Raw genomic sequence first — 17,461 nt, forward strand, 5'->3', positions numbered from 1 at the left:
AATAAAGATGTTCTTTGAAACCAACGAAAACAAAGACACAACGTACCAGAATCTTTGGGACACATTTAAAGCAGTGTGTAGAGGGAAATTTATACTACTAAATGCCTATAAGAGAAAGCAGGAAAGATCTAAAATCAACACCCTAACATCACAACTGAAAGAACTAGAGAAGCAAGAGCAAACACATTCAAAAGCTAGCAGAACGCAAGAAATAACTAAGATCAGAGCAGAACTGAAGGAGATAGAGACATAAAAAACCCTTCAAAAAATCAATGAATCCAGGAGCTGGTTTTTTGAAAAGAACAAAATTGATAGACTGCTAGCAAGACTAATAAAGAAGAAAAGAAAGAAGAATCAAATAGACACAATAAAAAATGATAAATGGGATATCACCACTGATCCCACAGAAATACAAACTACCATCAGAGAATACTATAAACACCTCTACGCAAATAAACTAGAAAATCTAGAAGAAATGGATAAATTCCTGGACACATACACCCTCCCAAGACTAAACCAGGAAGAAGCTGAATCTCTGAATAGACAAATAACAGGCTCTGAAATTGAGGCAATAATTAATAGCCTACCAACTAAAAAAAGTCCAGGACCAGATGGATTCACAGCCGAATTCTACAAGAGGTACAAAGAGGAGCTGGTACCATTCCCTCTGAAACTATTCCAATCAATAGAAAAAGAGAGAATCCTCCCTAACTCAACTTATGAGGCCAATATCATCCTGACACCAAAGCCTGGCAGAAACACAACAAAAAAAAGAGAATTTTAGACCAATATCCCTGATGAACATCAATGCAAAAATCCTCAATAAAATACTGGCAAACCAAATCCAGCAGCACATCAAAAAGCTTATCCACCATGATCAAGTGGGCTTCATCCCTGGGATGCAAGACTGGTTCAACATATGCAAATCAATAAATGTAATCCATCATATAAACAGAATCAACAACAAAAACCACATGATTATCTCAATAGATGCAGAAAAGGCCTTTAACAAAATTCAACAGCCCTTCATGCTAAAAACTCTCAATAAACTAGGTATTGATGGAACATATCTCAAAATAATAAGAGCTATTTATGACAAACCCACAGCCAATATCATACTGAATGGGCAAAAACTGGAAGCATTCCCTTTGAAAACGGGCACAAGACAGGGATGCTCTCTCTCACCACTCCTATTCAACATAGTGTTGGAAGTTCTGGCCAGGGCAGTCAGGCAAGAGAAAGAAATAAAGGGTGTTCAATTAGAAAATGAGAAAGTCAAATTGTCCCTGTTTGCAGATGACATGATTGTATATTTAGAAAACCCCATCGTCTGAACCCAAAATATCCTTTAGCTGATAAGCAACTTCAGCAAAGTCTCTGGATACAAAATCAATGTGCAAAAATCACAAGCATTCCTATACACCATTAACAGACAAAGAGAGAGCCAAATCATGAGTGAACTCCCATTCAGAATTGCTACAAAGAGAATAAAATACCTAGTAATCCAACTTACAAGGGATGTGAAGGACCTCTTCAAAGAGAACTACAAACCACTGCTCAAAGAAATAAAAGAGGACACAAACAAATGGAAGAATATTCCATGCTCATGGATAGGAAGACTCAATATCATGAAAATGGCAGCACTGCCCAAGGTAATTCATAGATTCAGTGCCATCCCCATCAAGCTACCAATGACTTTCTTCACAGAATTGGAAAAAACTACTTTAAAGTTCATATGGAACCAAAAAACAGCCTGCATTGCCAAGACAATCCTAAGCCAAAAGAACAAAGCTGGAGGCATCACGCTACCTGACTTCAAACTATACTACAAGGCTACAGTAACCAAAACAGCATGGTACTGGTACCAAAACAGAGGTATAGACCAATGGAACAGAACAGAGCCCTCAGAAATAATACCACACATCTACAACCATCTGATCTTTGACAAATCTGACAAAAACAAGAAATGGGGAAAGGATTCCCTATTTAATAAATGGTGCTGGGAAAACTGGCTAGCCATATGTAGAAAGCTGAAATTGGATCCTTTCCTTACACCTTATACAAAAATTAATTCAAGATGGATTAGAGACCTAAATGTTAGACCTAAAACCACAAAACCCCTAGAAGAAAACCTAGGCAATACCATTTAGGACATAGGCATGGTCAAGGACTTCATGACTAAAACACCAAAAGCAATGGCAACAAAAGCCAAAATTGACAAATGGGATCTAATTAAACTAAAGAGCTTCTCCACAGCAAAAGAAACTATCATCAGAGTGAACAGGCAACTTACAGAATGGGAGAAAATTTTTGCAATCTACCCATCTGACAAAGGGCTAATATCCAGAATCTACAAAGAACTCAAACAAACTTATAAGAAAAAAACAAACAACCCCATCAAAAAGTGGGCAAAGGATATGAATAGACACTTCTCAAAAGAAGACATCTACACAACCAACAGACACATGGAAAAATGCTCATCACTGGTCATCAGAGAAGTGCAAATCAAAACCACAATGAGATACCATCTCACACCAGTTAGAATAGCAATCATTTAAAAAGTCAGGAAACAACAGATGCTGGAGAGGATGTGGAGAAATAGGAACGCTTTTACACTGTTGGTGTGAGTGTAAATTAGTTCAACCTTTGTGGAAGACAGTGTGGTGATTCCTCAAGGATCTAAACTAGAATTAATATTTGACCCAGCAATCCCATTACTGCTTATATACCCAAAGGATTATAAATCATGCTACTATAAAGACACATGCACATGTATGTTTATTGTGGCACTATTGACAATAGCAAAGACTTGGAACCAACCCAAATGTCCATCAATGATAGACTGGATTAAGAAAATGTGGCACGTATACACCATGGAATACTATGCAGCCATAAAAAAGGATGAGTTCATGTCCTTTGCCGGGACATGGATGAAGCTGGAAACCATCATTTTCAGGAAACTATAAGGACGGAAAACCAAATACCACATGTTCTCACTCATAGGTGGGAATTGAACAATGAGATCAATTGGACACAGGGCCTTGGACACAGGGAAGGGAACATCACCCACCAGGGCCTGTTGAGGGATGGGGGCCTGAGGGAGGGATAGCATTAGGAGACATACCTAATGTAAATGATGAGTTGATAGGTACAGCAAACCATCATGGCACATATATACCTATGTATCAAACCTGCATGTTGTGCACATGTACCCTAGAACTTAAAGTATAATAAAAAAAAAAAAGAAGGCAATGAGATGATATATTCAAAGTGTTAAAATATTCCTTACAACTACTGTAAAGTTTCTTAAAACTACTGGCATCCACTTAAATTTACAAAGGCAGAAGAAAGCAAGCTACAAAAGGAGAGAATTAAAGATTTGTCAATTTCCTTGGACAAGTGAAAAGTTACTATTTTGTTTTGACTTCAGTATGTTTGATATATAGAAAGGATAATTAATAGAATTAAAACTCTAAGTGGGTGGGCTCAGTGGCTCCTGCCTATAATCCCAGCACTTTGGGAGGCTGAGGCAGGTGGATCACCTGAGGTGAGGAGTTCGAGACCACTCTGGCCATTATGGTGAAACTCCATCTCTACTAAAAAAAAAAAAAAAAAAAAAAAAAAAAAAAAAAAAAATTAGCTGGGCGTGGTGATGCACGCCTGTAATCCCAACCACATGCGAGGCTGAGGCAGGAGAATCACTTGAACCTACTAGGAGGTGGAGGATGCAGTGAGCCGAGACTGCATCACCGCACTCCAGCCTGGGCGACTGAGTGAGACTCTTTCAAAAAAACAAAAACAAAAGAACAAAAAACCCCCTGCAAAACTCTTAAGTATAAAAATTATGAAGAAATTTTAAAAGACTGATAGTTCTGATATAGACATTTTTTAACTGTCAAGAACATCACACACTAATTTAAATGATGTCAAAATGTAAAGTGACATGCAAAATATTGATCTACAAAATGCTTCTATGGGTCAATGATTAAAATCCTAACACTTAGAAGCCTGATATTATCTGGCACCTCATTCTTCTGTTATCTCATCTCTTCTCCTTGCTGTGTTCTAGCCATACACTTTGCTGTCTTCTTACATAAAGTATGTTCTTGCATTAGAACCTCTGCATCAGCTAGACACTCTGGTGGGAATATATTTTCCCTCAGTATTTGAATTGTTAATTCCCTCAATTCCTTCAGGTCATTGCTGAAATGTCATCTTCTCAATGAGGCGTATCCTGCCAACTTTATTTAAAATTGTAATCTGTCTGCAACCTGACTCTCTGCTCCTGATTTTCCCTTACCCAGTTCTTTTTCTTTTTCCATAGCATTTCTCAGCTTCTTGACATGTAACTCAATTTACATATGTCTATCACTTATTGTCTGTCTCCCTATGCACGCTACCCCTGCTAAAATTTAACCTGCACAAGAGAAAAGATCTTAATATTGTAAACTAATATATCCCCAGAAGGGAAAACATAGTCACTCAAATACTTAGACAGTAAATGAATAATAAATAGATTATATATGAAAAGGACATACTTATTTAGATGCAAAAAATACACTTATCCCTGTGGAAGCTTTAGCCACTCCAGTCAGGGTTATAAGGACAGAGCTCCGATCTCTCCCTGGGACAGGGCTTCCGGGGGAGGGTGGCCACCATCTCTGCAGATTGGTCGACTCAGCTGTTCCAGCCTGCCAGCTTTGGAGAGTCCAAACAGTCCAGACAAGGAAGGTTCCCCCACCAACAGAGCATAGCTGCTCTATCCGATCATGGCCAGACTGCTTCTTTAAGCAGGACCCCAATCCATTCCTCCTCACTGGGGAGGACCTCCCTGCAGAGGCTTCAGCCACACCAGCCAGGATTATAAAGACAGAGCTTTGATCTCTTCCTGAGACAGAGTTCCCAGTGGGAGAAGCGGCTACCATCTCTGCAGTTCGGTTGACTCAGCTGTTCCACTCAGCCGGCTCTGGAGAGTCCAAACAGTCTGGGTGAGAAATGATCCACCCCAACACAGCACACCTGCTCCACCAACAAGCAGCCAGACTGCCTCTTTAAGCAGGTCCCTGATCCCATTCTTCCTATCTGCATAAGATCTCACAACAAGGGTCTCCAGCCACCTGCTATAGGTGTGTTTGGGCTGGCAATAGGTCTGTACCCCCCTAGGACAGAGCTTCCAGAAGGATCTGGCTGCCATCTTTGTTGTTTCACAGCCTTCACTGGTGATACCTCTGGGTACAGGAAAAACAGAAGCAACTAGGGTCTGGAGTGAACCCTCAGCAAACTGCAGCAGCCCTACAGAAGAGCAGCTTGACCGTTAAAAACAAACAGAAAGCAACAAAATCATCGTCAACAAAAAGGACTCCAGAAAAACCCCATTCAAAGGTCAGCAATCTCAAAAATCACAGGTAGATAAGCCCACAAAGATGAGAAAAAATCAAAGCAAAAATGCTGAAAATTCAAAAGGCCAGAGTGTCTCTTCTCCTCCAAATGACTGCAACACCTCTCCCCTAAGCAGACAGAACTGGGCCGAGGCCAAGATGGCTGAAGTGATGGAAGTAGGCTTCAAAAGGTGGGTAATAAGGAACTTCGCTAAGCTAAAGGAGCATGTTCTAACCCAATGCAAAGAAACGAAGCACTATGATAAAACATTACAGGAGCTGTAAACGAGAACAATCAGTTTAGAGAGGAATATAAATGACCTGATGGAGCTGAAAAACACAACATAAGAACTTCACAATGCAACCACAAGTATCAATAACCGAACAGACCAAGCAGAGGAAAAAATTTCAGAACTTGAAAACTATCTTGCTGAAATAAGGCAGGTAGACACATTAAACAAAAAAGAATGAAAAGGAACAAACAAAACCTCCGAGAACTATAGGATTATGTAAAAGGAGCTGTGACTGATGGGGTACCTGAAAGAAACAGGGAGAACAGAACCAAGTTGAAAAACATACTTGAGGATATTCATCCAGGAGAACTTCCCCAATCTAGCAGGAAAAGACAACATTTAAATTCAGGAAATGTGGAGAACCCCAGTAAGATACTCCATGAAAAGATCAACCACAAGACATATAATCATCAGATTCTCCAAGGTTGAAATGAAAGAAGAAATGTTAGGGGGCAGCCAGACAGAAAGGCTAGGTCATCCACAAAGGGAAGCCCATCAGACTAACAGCAGACCTCTCAGCTGAAACCCTCCAAGCCAGAAGAGATTGGAGCCAATATTCAACATTCTTAAAGAAAATAATTTCCAATTCATTTCTTAAAGAATTCCCAAAAAAAAGAATTTCCAGAATTTCATATCTGGCCAAACTAAGCTTCATAAGTGAAGGAGAAACAAATGCTGAGGGAATTCATCACCACCAGGCCTGCCTTGCAAGAGCTTCTGAAGGAAGCATTAAGTATGGAAAAGAAAAACCGTCGGCAGCCATGACAAATACACACTGAAGTACACAGACCAGTGACACTATGAATCAACCACATAAACATGTCTGCAAAATAACCAGCTAGCATCATGATGACAGTATCAAATTCACACATAACAATACTAACCTTAAATGCAAATGGGTTAAATGCCCCAATTAAAAGACAAAGAATGGCAAGCTGGATAAAGAGTGGAGACCCATCAACACGCTGTCTTCAAGAGATCCATCTCACATGGAAAGACACACATAGGCTCAAAATAAAGAGATGGAGGAAAATTTACAAGCAAATGGATAACAGAAAAAAAGCTGGGGTTGCAATCCTAGTTTCTGACTTTAAACCAACAAAGGTCAAAAAAGAATGTTACATAATTGTAAAGGGTTCAAGAAGAAATAACTATCCTAAATATATAGGCACCCAATACAGAAGCACCCAGATTCATAAAGCAAATTCTTAAGAGACCTACAAAGAGACTTAGACTCCCACACAATAATAGTGAGAGACCTTAACACCCCATTAACAGTATTAGACAGATCATCGAGACAGAAAATTAACAAAAATATTCACGACCTGAACTCAGCTCTGGATCAAGTGGACTTGATAGATATTTACAGAAATCTCCACCAAAACCCAACAGAATATACATTCTTCTCATTGCCACATGGCACTTACTCTAAAATCGATCACATAATTGGAAGTAAAACGTTCCTCAGCAAATGCAAAATAAGTGAAATCGTAACAGTCTTTCAGACCACAACACAAATTAGAACTGAAGATTAAGAAATTCACTCAAAACCACACAACTACATGAAAATTGAACAACCTGCTCCTGAATGACTCTTGAGTAAATAATGAAATTAAGGCAGAAATCAAGAATTACTTTGAAACTAATGAGAACAAAGAGACAATGTACCAGAATCTCTGGATGCAACTAAAGCAGTGTTAATAAAAAAATTTATAGCACTAAATGCCCACATCAAAACGCTAGAAAGATCTCAAGTTAACAACCTAACATCTCAATTAAAAGAACATGAGAGCCAAGAGCAAACAAACCCCAAAGCTAGCAGAAGACAAGAAACCACGATCAGAGCTGAACTGAAGGAGTTAGACAAACGAAAAACTCTTCAAAAAAAATCAACCAATCCAGGACCTGTTTTTAGAAAAAAAGTAGTAAAATAGACCACTAGCTACACTGATAAAGAAGAAAAGAGAGAAGAATCCAATAAACACAATCAGCAATGATATGGGGCATCAGAACCAACAACAAGTTCTGAAACTGAGGCAGCAATAAGTAGCCTACCAACCAAAAAAAGCCTAGGACCAGATGGATTCACAGCTGAATTCTACCAGAGGTACAATGAAGAGCTGGTATCATTTCTACTGAAACTATTCCACAAAACTGAAGAGGGATTCCTCCCTTACTCATTCTATGAGGCCAGCATCATCCTGATGCCAAAACCTGGCAGAAATACAACAAAAAAGGAAAACTTCATGTCAATACCATTGATGAACATCAATGCAAAAATCCTCAATAAACTACTAGCAAACCAAATTCAGCAGCACATAAAAAAGCTTATCCATCAGATCAAGTTGGCTTCATCCCCAGGATGCGACGTTGGTTCAACAGACACAAATCAATAAATGTGATTCATCACATAAACAGAACTAAGGACAAAACCACATGATTATCTCAATCAATCAAGAAAAGCCTTTGATAAAATGAGACATCCCTTCATGTTAAAATCTCAATAAACCAGGTATTAAAGGAACATACCTCAAAATAATAAAAGCCATATATGACAAACTCACAGCCAATATCATACTGAATGGGCAAAAGCTGGAAGCATTTCCCCTTGAAAACTGGCGCAAGACAAGGATGCCCTCTCTCACCACTCCTATTCAACACAGTATTGAAAGTTCTGGCCAGGGTAATCAGGCGCAAGAAAGAAATAAAGGGTATTCAAATAGGAAGAGAGAAGTCAAATTACATTTGTTTGCAGATAACATGATCTTATATCTAGAAAACCCCATCATCTCAGCCCAAAAGCTTCTTAAGCTGATAAGCAACTTTAGCAAAGTCTCAGGATACAAAATCAATGTGCAAAAATCTCTAGCATTCCTATACACCAACAACAAGTAGGCAGAGAGCCATCCCATTCACAATTGCTACAAAATGAATAAAATACCTAGGAATATAGCTAACAAGGGAAGTATAGAATCTCTTCAAGGAGAATTACAAACCACTGCTCAAAGGAAATCGGAGAGGACACAAACAAATGGAAAAACATTCCATGCTCATGGACAGGAAGAACGAACATCATGAAAATGGCCATACTGCCCTAAGTAATTTATAGATTCAAAGCTATTCCCATTAAACTAACATTGACATTCTTCACATATTTAGAAAAAGTGATTTTAAAATTCATATGGAACCAAAAAAGAGCCCGAATAGTCAAGCCAATCCTAAGAAAAAAGAACAAAGCTGGAGGTATCATGCTACCCAACTTCAAAATATACAAGGCTACAGTAACCAAGATGGCATTGTACTGGTACAAGAAGAGACACATAGACCAATGGAACAGAACAGAGAACTCAGAAATAAGATCACACACCTACAACCATCTGATCTTCGACAAACCTGACAAAAGCCAGCAATGGGGAAAGGGTTCCCTATTTAATAAATAGTGCTGGAAGTGCTGGCTAGCCATATGCAGAAAACTGAAACTGGACCCCTTCCTTATACAAATATTAACTTAAGATAAACTAAAAACTTAAATGTAAAACCCGAAACTATTAAAACTCTAGAAGAAAATCTAGGCAATACTATTCAGGATGTAGACATGGGCAAGGATTTCATGACAAAAATGCCAAAAGCAATTGCAATAAAAGCAAAAATTGGCAAATGGGATATATTAATAATTAAACTAAAGAGCTTCTGCACAGCAAAAGAAACTATCATCAGAGAGAACACATAATCTATGAAATGGGAAAAAATTTCTCCAATCTATCCATCTGACCAAGGTCTAATATCCAGAGTCTACAAGGAACTTAAATTTACAAGAAAAAAACAAACGACAAAGTGGACAAAGTACATAAACAGACTCTTCTCAAAAGAAGATATACATGTGGCCAAAAAATATGGGGAAAAAAGCTCCACATCACTGATCATTAAAGAAATGCAAATCAAAACCACAATGAGATAACATCTCACGCCAGTCAGAATGGCCATTACTAAAAAGTCGTAAAAGAACAGATGCTGGCAAGGTTGCAGAAAAAAGAGAATGCTTAAACACAGTGGGAATAAAAATTAGGTCAGCCACTGTGAAAAGCAGTTCGGAGATTTCTCAAAGAACTGAAAACAAAATTACCATTTGACCCAGCAATCCCATTACTTGGCATATACACAAAGGAATATAAATCATTCTGTTAAATATTATAAGGATACAGGAACGTGTATGTTCATTGCAGCACCATTGACAATAGTAAAGACACGGAATCAACCTAAATGCCCATCAATGATAGACTGGATAAAGAAAATGTGATACATATACACCATGGAATACTATGCAGCCATAAAATGGAATGAAATCACATCCTTTGCAGGGACACAGAAGGAGTTGGAAGCCATTATCCTCAGCAAACTAACACAGGAACAGAAAACCAAACACCACATATTCTCACTTTTAAGTGGGAGCTGAATGATGAGACCACATGGACAAAATGGCATAAACAACACACACTGTGGTCTGTTGGGGGTAGGGGGTGTGGGGAGGGAGAGCATCAGGAAGAATAGCTAAGGGATGCAGGGCTTAGTATCTAGGCAATGGGATGAACTGTGTAGCAAACCACCATAGCATACGTTTATCTGTGTAACAAACCTGCATATCCTACACATAACTCTTAAAGTTGAAAAAAAAAAAAAAAGGTGGTGACAGTATTTTTGTTGTTGTTGTTGCTGTTTTCCAGATAGTGGATAGGAAGCAGTGTTAGCATGCCTCTCCCACTTGGAAGGACAGAATAGTGGGTAGAGATTCACACTGTGAATTTTTTTTCCCCCAAGAACACTACACGAAGTTACAGAAAAATATTTATTCAAAAAAGAAACATTAACTGGCTAGTAAACACAGAAAAATCTTCCATAAACAAATCAAGAGGACAAAAACAACCCCATTACAGAGTGAGCAAAGGAATGGGCACTTCTAAGAAGACATACAAGCAGCCAACAAACATGAAAAAATGCTCAGTATCACTACTCATCAGAGAGATGCAAATCAAAACCACAATGAGATACCATCTCATACCAGTCAGAATTGGTATTATTAAAAAGTCAAAAAAATAACAGATGCTCGCAAGGTTGCAGAGAAAAAGGGAATGCCTAAACACAGTGGGAATGAAAATTACTTCAGCCACTGTAAAAAGCAGTTTGGACATTTCTCAGAGAACTAAAAACAGAACTACCATTTGACCCAACAACTCCATTGCTGGGTATATATCCAAAGAAAAATAAATCATTCTACCAAAAAAGACACCTGCACTCATGTTTATCACAGTACTATTCACAATGGCAAAGACATGGAATCAACCTAGGTGCCCACCAATGGTGGACTGAATAAAGAAAATGTGACTCATATACACCATGGAATACTACACAATATGTGCAAATTGAAATCAATCTACACATTGATTGATAGAATGAGATCATGTCCTTCGCAGCAACATTGGCTCGGCTGGAGGCCATTATTTTAAGTGAATTAACACAAAACCAGAAAATCAAATGCTGCGTGTTCTCACTTATGTGGGAGCTAAACAATGGATACTCAGGGACACAAATATGGGAGTAGACACTGGGGACTACAAAAGGGGATGGGAAGGGAGAAAGGGGGGCCACGAGAGTTGAAAAACTACCTATCAGGTACTATGTTTGCTACTTGGAGAACAGAATCATTAGAAGCTCCAGCCTCAGCATCACACAATATGCCCATGTAACAAATCTCCACATGTACCCCTGGAATCAAAGCTAAAAATAAATAAAGTCATATTGAAAGAAAAATTTTCCCTATAACTACTTATCAAATAAATACAAATAAGAAGCCATCTTTGGCCAGGCACAGTGGCTCACGCCTGTAATCTCAGCACTTTGGGAAGCTGAGGCGAGTGGATCACTTGAACTCAGGAGTGTGACACCAGCCTGGATGACATGGCAAAACCCGTCTCTACAAAAAAATACAAAAATTTGCTGGGTGTGATGGCATGCACCTGCAGTCCCAAGCTGCCCAGGAGGCTGAGGTGGGAGGATTGCTTGAGCCCAGGAGTTGGGTGCTGTGGTGAGCCGAGATCACACCATTGTACTCCAGCCTCAATGACAGAGCGAGACCCCGTCTCAAAAAACAAAACAAAATAAAACAAAACAAAACAAAAAAATTTAAAAAAAGAAACTCTCTTTGTTTTTAAATTGGCAGAAAGAATTAGGTATAACAAAAATCAAGACTTTCAACACTGTGATGTGACAGATCCTCTCAAAAACTATGAAAATTAACAGCCATTTGGAAAGTCATTTGTTAAAAATTATCGGGAGTCTAAAAATGTTAACAACCCTTATATTCAGTACGTTCTTTTCTTCACTGACTAATTAATGGGGTCTCACTCTATTACCCAGGCTAGAGTGCAATGGTGTGATCATAGCTCACTGTAGTCTCAAACTCCTGGGCTCAAGTGATCCTCCCACCTCAGCCTCTCAAATAACTGGGACTACAGGCGTGCATCACCACACCTGGCTAATTGTTTTTAAAAAAATTTTTTTTAGAGACAGAGTCTTGTTATGTTGCCCAGACTGGGCTTGAACTCCTGGCCTCATGCAAACTTCCCATCTCAGCCACGTGATTAGCTGGGATTACAGGCACGAGCCACCATGCCTGGCTCAGCATATTCTTTTTTTTTTTTTTTTTTGAGATGGAGTCTCACTCTGTCAACCAGGCTGAAGTGCAATGGTGTGATCTTGGCTCACTGCAACCTCCGCCTCCCGGGTTCAAGGGATTCTCCTGCCTCAGCCTCGCCAGTAGCTGGGATTACAGGCATGTGCCATCACGTCCAGCAAATTTTGTATTTTTAGTGGAGACAAAGTCATTTTTAATAAACTATTCTCAGAGGTAATAAAAAAATAAGATAAGCTACACATTCAAAATTATTTATGACTGCATTAATACCAACAGTAGCAAAAAAACAAAACCACCTGAATTTTCAATGTTACTAAATATTTCCATGTAGACAGTTTATTATGTATCCATTTGAATTCTTGTTGACACAACATTGTTTAACATTATAAGAAAATAATTTTGATAAAACTGTAAGTGATAATTTCAACCATGTAAAAATAAATATAAAAAACCCAGAAAGGAAATACACCTAAACATTAAAATAGGTTTTATGGGTGATTACTTTTTCTTCCTTGTTAGTCTTTGATTTTATGTACTTCCGATTTTCTATAAGGAACATGTGATAAATAACCAGAAAAAATGTAAAATACTTGGGTGAAAGAAAAACTACAATGAAATGATGATTTGATTAGACAATGATTATCTTTTTTCAATTTTTATATTTCCAACAGATAGCATTTTGGGATCCAAAATTATTTCTTGTCATCATGATTATTGCACTTCATATATTACAGTGTTTTTAGTTTGTGGTTCTAATGATACTTGGGTTTTGAAAATCTTTGGGACAATGAAAATAATCATCCATCCTATAAGGAATAAACAATTATTAAAAGATAGCACTTCTGAAAGTTATAGAAGAAGCAACTAAATCAAGAGAAAGTTATCTGCTAGACACATTGAAACAACTGGGGAAAGGGAGTTTGTGAGCCTCTGAAAGAATATACACACCCAGAACCGCTTGAGAAGAAACAGCAGGCAAAAGTTAATTTCTCCCAATAGATGTAATAGATCCCAAACAGCTTTTTTTTTTTTTTTTTTTTTTTTTTTTTTTGAAATTTTCCGGTCTGCAGGCTACTGAGTAAAGCCTAAATGCATTCTGACATGGTGTAATATGAAATAAAAATGCTTAATTTAAGAAGTATTATTTATTCTTAACGTGGTAGCTAGTCTCCAAGATGGCCCCAACGATCCCCATCTCTGGTATTCATGCCCTGTAAAGCACCTTTCATACTGAATAGAAGTTATTTGCTCAACAAACAGAAAACACTGTGTGTAACTTTTGAGGCTAGATTATAAATGACATTGTGGCTCAGTCTTTATCTCTTTACCCTTGTTCTGGAAAAAGGAAGCTGCCACGTTGTGAGGGCACTTAAGTAACACCAAAAACAGGTCTATGTGGCAATGGAATGAAGCACTCTGCTAAAAGCCAGTGAAACACTGAGGACTCCTGCAGTGGCATGTAAGTGAGTCATCTTAGAAGCTTGTCCTCCTGCTCCAGTGAAGCCTTCGGATCACTGCAACTATAACCAAAATCTTAAATATAGCCTTATAAGAGAATCTAAGATAGAATCACTCAGGTAAATTGCTCCTAAATTCTTGAACCTCAGAAACTGTTAAGATAAATGTTCACTGTTTACCACCAAGTGGTAATTTGTTATACAGCAATAAATTTATACTTAGCTAATATAAAAACAATTTCATAAAATATTTTGGTTTATGTTTCTTAAGTATTTTTTATCTAGATAAACTTATATATTAACTTAGAAATACAGACAGTTATGAAAGACTACTTTTATATACAGAAATATATCCTCTTGAAGTATACTGGTTTATAATCAATAACAAGAAATTTAATGTTGACTTAAGGCTTAAAATATTCTTCAGTGAGATAAATTTACTTAGTTTTTCTTAAATAATCAGGGAAAGAAAATGCTGCTTAATTATGTGACCAAAAATTGCTATTACTAGCTATTGTTGGTAAATAGTGGATTTCGGGTCACTGAAGTGGTGGTAGGGTCTAGAGTTACTTACTTTGTTTAATACCCTATTTGTAATCAATATGTGGTATGTGTATGTCTGATCACAAGGACTACCAGAGAATATATGTCACGAGTCATAGAAAACAGGTAGGTTTTTCTTTTCCTGAGCAAAGTTACCTGTTTTACATGAAGACTAAATCTGAATTCCTTCGTCTACTTAACTGAAACATTAACATGGAGGGGAAAATATTTAATGTATGTTCTTCATATTGCTTTCCTTAAATTGAAATAAATTAAAATTGTTAGTAAGAATATCTAGGTACTCACCATGTGCTTTAATGCATTAAAAAGAAGTTTTCTCCCAGAAGGCTTATCAAAATCTGCAATAATCCAGAGAGTGACTGCAGAAATTATACTCTCATCTGAAAGTTTCAAACAGTTTACTCAAATTAACTTTTTTTTTAAAAAATAAAACAAAAGCAGGGGAACATGTGCAGTTAACACATTAAAAAAAATTAAAATAATATTTCTGAAAAGCAAAGATTTTTAAAATGTTATGTGTGAATGTATACATGCAAGTACGTATATATACATACAAAAATAAATACATATAAAATTACATATAAAAATGCTACAAGGGTAATTCATTATACAAGCTTATATAAAGCTTCCGGTTAGAAGAGTAACTCATTATATAAGCTTATATAAAACTCCCAGTGTTGGTAAGCAAATCTGCCTTCTAGCTACATTTGTTTAAAAAAAAAAAATTTATGTCCCAAATATATGTAAAACCGTAACAATCAAGCTTATTAGTAGATATAGAAAACAGCAATATGTAGCCAGACTCCTTTATGAACATAAAATCATGGAATCTGTTAGACAGTAATCCAGGAGCCATCTGGTAGAAACTCGGATTTAATCTACAGCATTTACAAGAACTGGTTGTGTGGCCTTTGCTTTAAATCTCTCTCCTATATAAAAGTTTGCCCCTTACAACATAGTTCATTCCATCTGTTTAATGAACTCTCACTGTTAGAAAATTACCACTTCCCTACTGAGACCAAAATCAGCCTTCTTTAATCTTTTACTCATTGGCTCTTGTTTTTATTTCTAGAGCAAAGCAGGCCAAACAAAACAAAGCAAAGCAAAACAAAAACCACCAAATTCGAATTATATTCATCTATCTGAATAGTTAATTGTACCCTAACAAATCTACGGTCCCACTGCAGACTTCTCAGTTTGGCTAAATCCTTTTTCCCAAGTGTGTTACTATCTTGGTCTCCTCTCTTCTGGTTGTAACCCCTACCTTAAGCAAAATATCTGCATGTTATTTAATCAGAATGCAGAAGAATTATTATCTTCTCTGATCTGGTAATTGTACTTTTCTGTATACATTATAAGATAGTTTACATAGTACTGAAAAGATTTTATTCTTTTCTTAAAAAGGTGAAAATAGTTTGTTTAAAAAAGGCAAAAATAAGATAAACAAAGTTAGAATAGAAGGCATTGTTTTCTCAGCACACGTTAAATACTAAAAAATTTACAAACTCTAAAATTGAAATCTAGGCCTCTACTCAAAAATAGCAACATATTAAAATTTATTATACAACTGCCTTATGAACATTACAAGTTTCTATCACTTTAAGAATTCAGGTAAATAAAATATGCTTATTACCGTCTTGGGTTAAATAATACATGTTCTTTGCAATTACAGCACTCTTATCTTGTGAATCCAAGAAAAAGAAAGTAGAGAAATCTTCAACATCAGCAGTTACTGAAAAATTTCAAATTAAACGTTAAATATAAATAAAGAATTCACAACTCAATAAACATTTGTAGAACAGTATAGGATTATTTTACCTGATGTAGATATTAAATTGAGGTACTGCTGGTTAGTACGCAAAATCAAAGTATTTATACGGGGTACAACATTATTCCTATCCATTAGAAAATCAATTGCATTCGTGCGATCATTTAATGTGCCCTAAAAAAACAAAAATGTTATTTAGATAATACAGGCAATTTATATCCATGTTTCAAAAAGTATGCAGATAACACAAAGATTACTTAATCAAAAATAAATAAGCAATTTAGAATTATTACAATACATTTTCTTTCTTTTTTTTTTTTTTTTTTATTCTTCAGTTTGGTAAACATTTAATGAGCTCTGTCTCAGGTGTTGGCAATTTCACTTCACAACCAGAATCATGGTAGTAACCATTTCTTGAGCACCTATTGTGAGCAGGACAATTCTCATTAATTAACTCACTGAATTTTTTTGTTTGTTTGTTTGTTTGCTTTTTTGTTGTTTTTTTAAATTTTTTTAGTATTTATTGATCATTCTTGGGTGTTTCTCGGAGAGGGGGATTTGGCGGGGTCACAGGACAATAGTGGAGGGAAGGTCAGCAGATAAACTTGTGAACAAAGGTCTCTGGTTTTCCTAGGCAGAGGGCCCTGCCGCCTTCCGCAGTGTTTGTGTCCCTGGGTACTTGAGATTCGGGAGTGGTGATGACTCTTAACGAACATGCTGCCTTGCAGGGTCTGTTTAACAAAGCACATCTTGCACCGCCCTTAATCCATTTAACCCTTAGTGGACACAGCACATGTTTCAGAGAGCACGGGGTTGGGGGTAAGGTTATAGATTAACAGCATCCCAAGGCAGAAGAATTTTTCTTAGTACAGAACAAAATGGAGTCTCCTATGCCCACTTCTTTCTACACAGACACAGTAACAATCTGATCTCTCTTTCTTTTCCCCACATTTCCCCCTTTTCTATTCGACAAAACCGCCATCGTCATCATGGCCCGTTCTCAATGAGCTGTTGGGTACACCTCCCAGACGGGGTGGCGGCCGGGCAGAGGCGCCCCCCACCTCCCGGACGGGGCAGCTGGCCGGGCAGGGGCTGCCCCCTACCTCCTGGACGGGGCGGCTGGCCGGGCAGGGGCTGCCCCCCACCTCCCCGACGGGACGGCTGGCCTGGCGAGGGCTGCCCCCCACCTCCCGGACAGGACGGCTGCCGGGCGGAGACGCTCCTCACTTCCCGGACGGGGCGGCTGCCGGGCGGAGGGGCTCCTCACTTCCCAGATGGGGCGGCTGCTGGGCGGAGGGGCTCCTCACTTCTCA

General features: G+C 37.9%; 1 protein-coding gene across 16 annotated transcripts in view; it reads right to left on the reverse strand.

The window, feature by feature from the left end:
- The window catches only part of UGGT2 (UDP-glucose glycoprotein glucosyltransferase 2), a 251,822-nt gene that overhangs the window by 109,435 nt on the left and 124,926 nt on the right, over positions 1–17,461 (reverse strand). For all 16 annotated transcript variants that reach the window (XR_931617.2, XM_047430471.1, NM_020121.4 and 13 more), the window contains 3 exons: positions 16,199–16,322; positions 16,014–16,112; positions 14,666–14,760 (listed from right to left, as the gene is read on the reverse strand). Coding sequence is in view for 15 of the 16 variants with exons in the window: in XM_047430471.1 (XP_047286427.1) it covers positions 14,666–14,760; positions 16,014–16,112; positions 16,199–16,322 (318 nt within the window). In the remaining variant the exon portion in view is untranslated. The remainder of the gene's footprint in view (positions 1–14,665; positions 14,761–16,013; positions 16,113–16,198; positions 16,323–17,461) is intronic.

The sequence above is a fragment of the Homo sapiens genome, chromosome 13 (genome assembly GCF_000001405.40).
Source record: "Homo sapiens chromosome 13, GRCh38.p14 Primary Assembly".
NCBI lineage: Eukaryota > Metazoa > Chordata > Mammalia > Primates > Hominidae > Homo > Homo sapiens.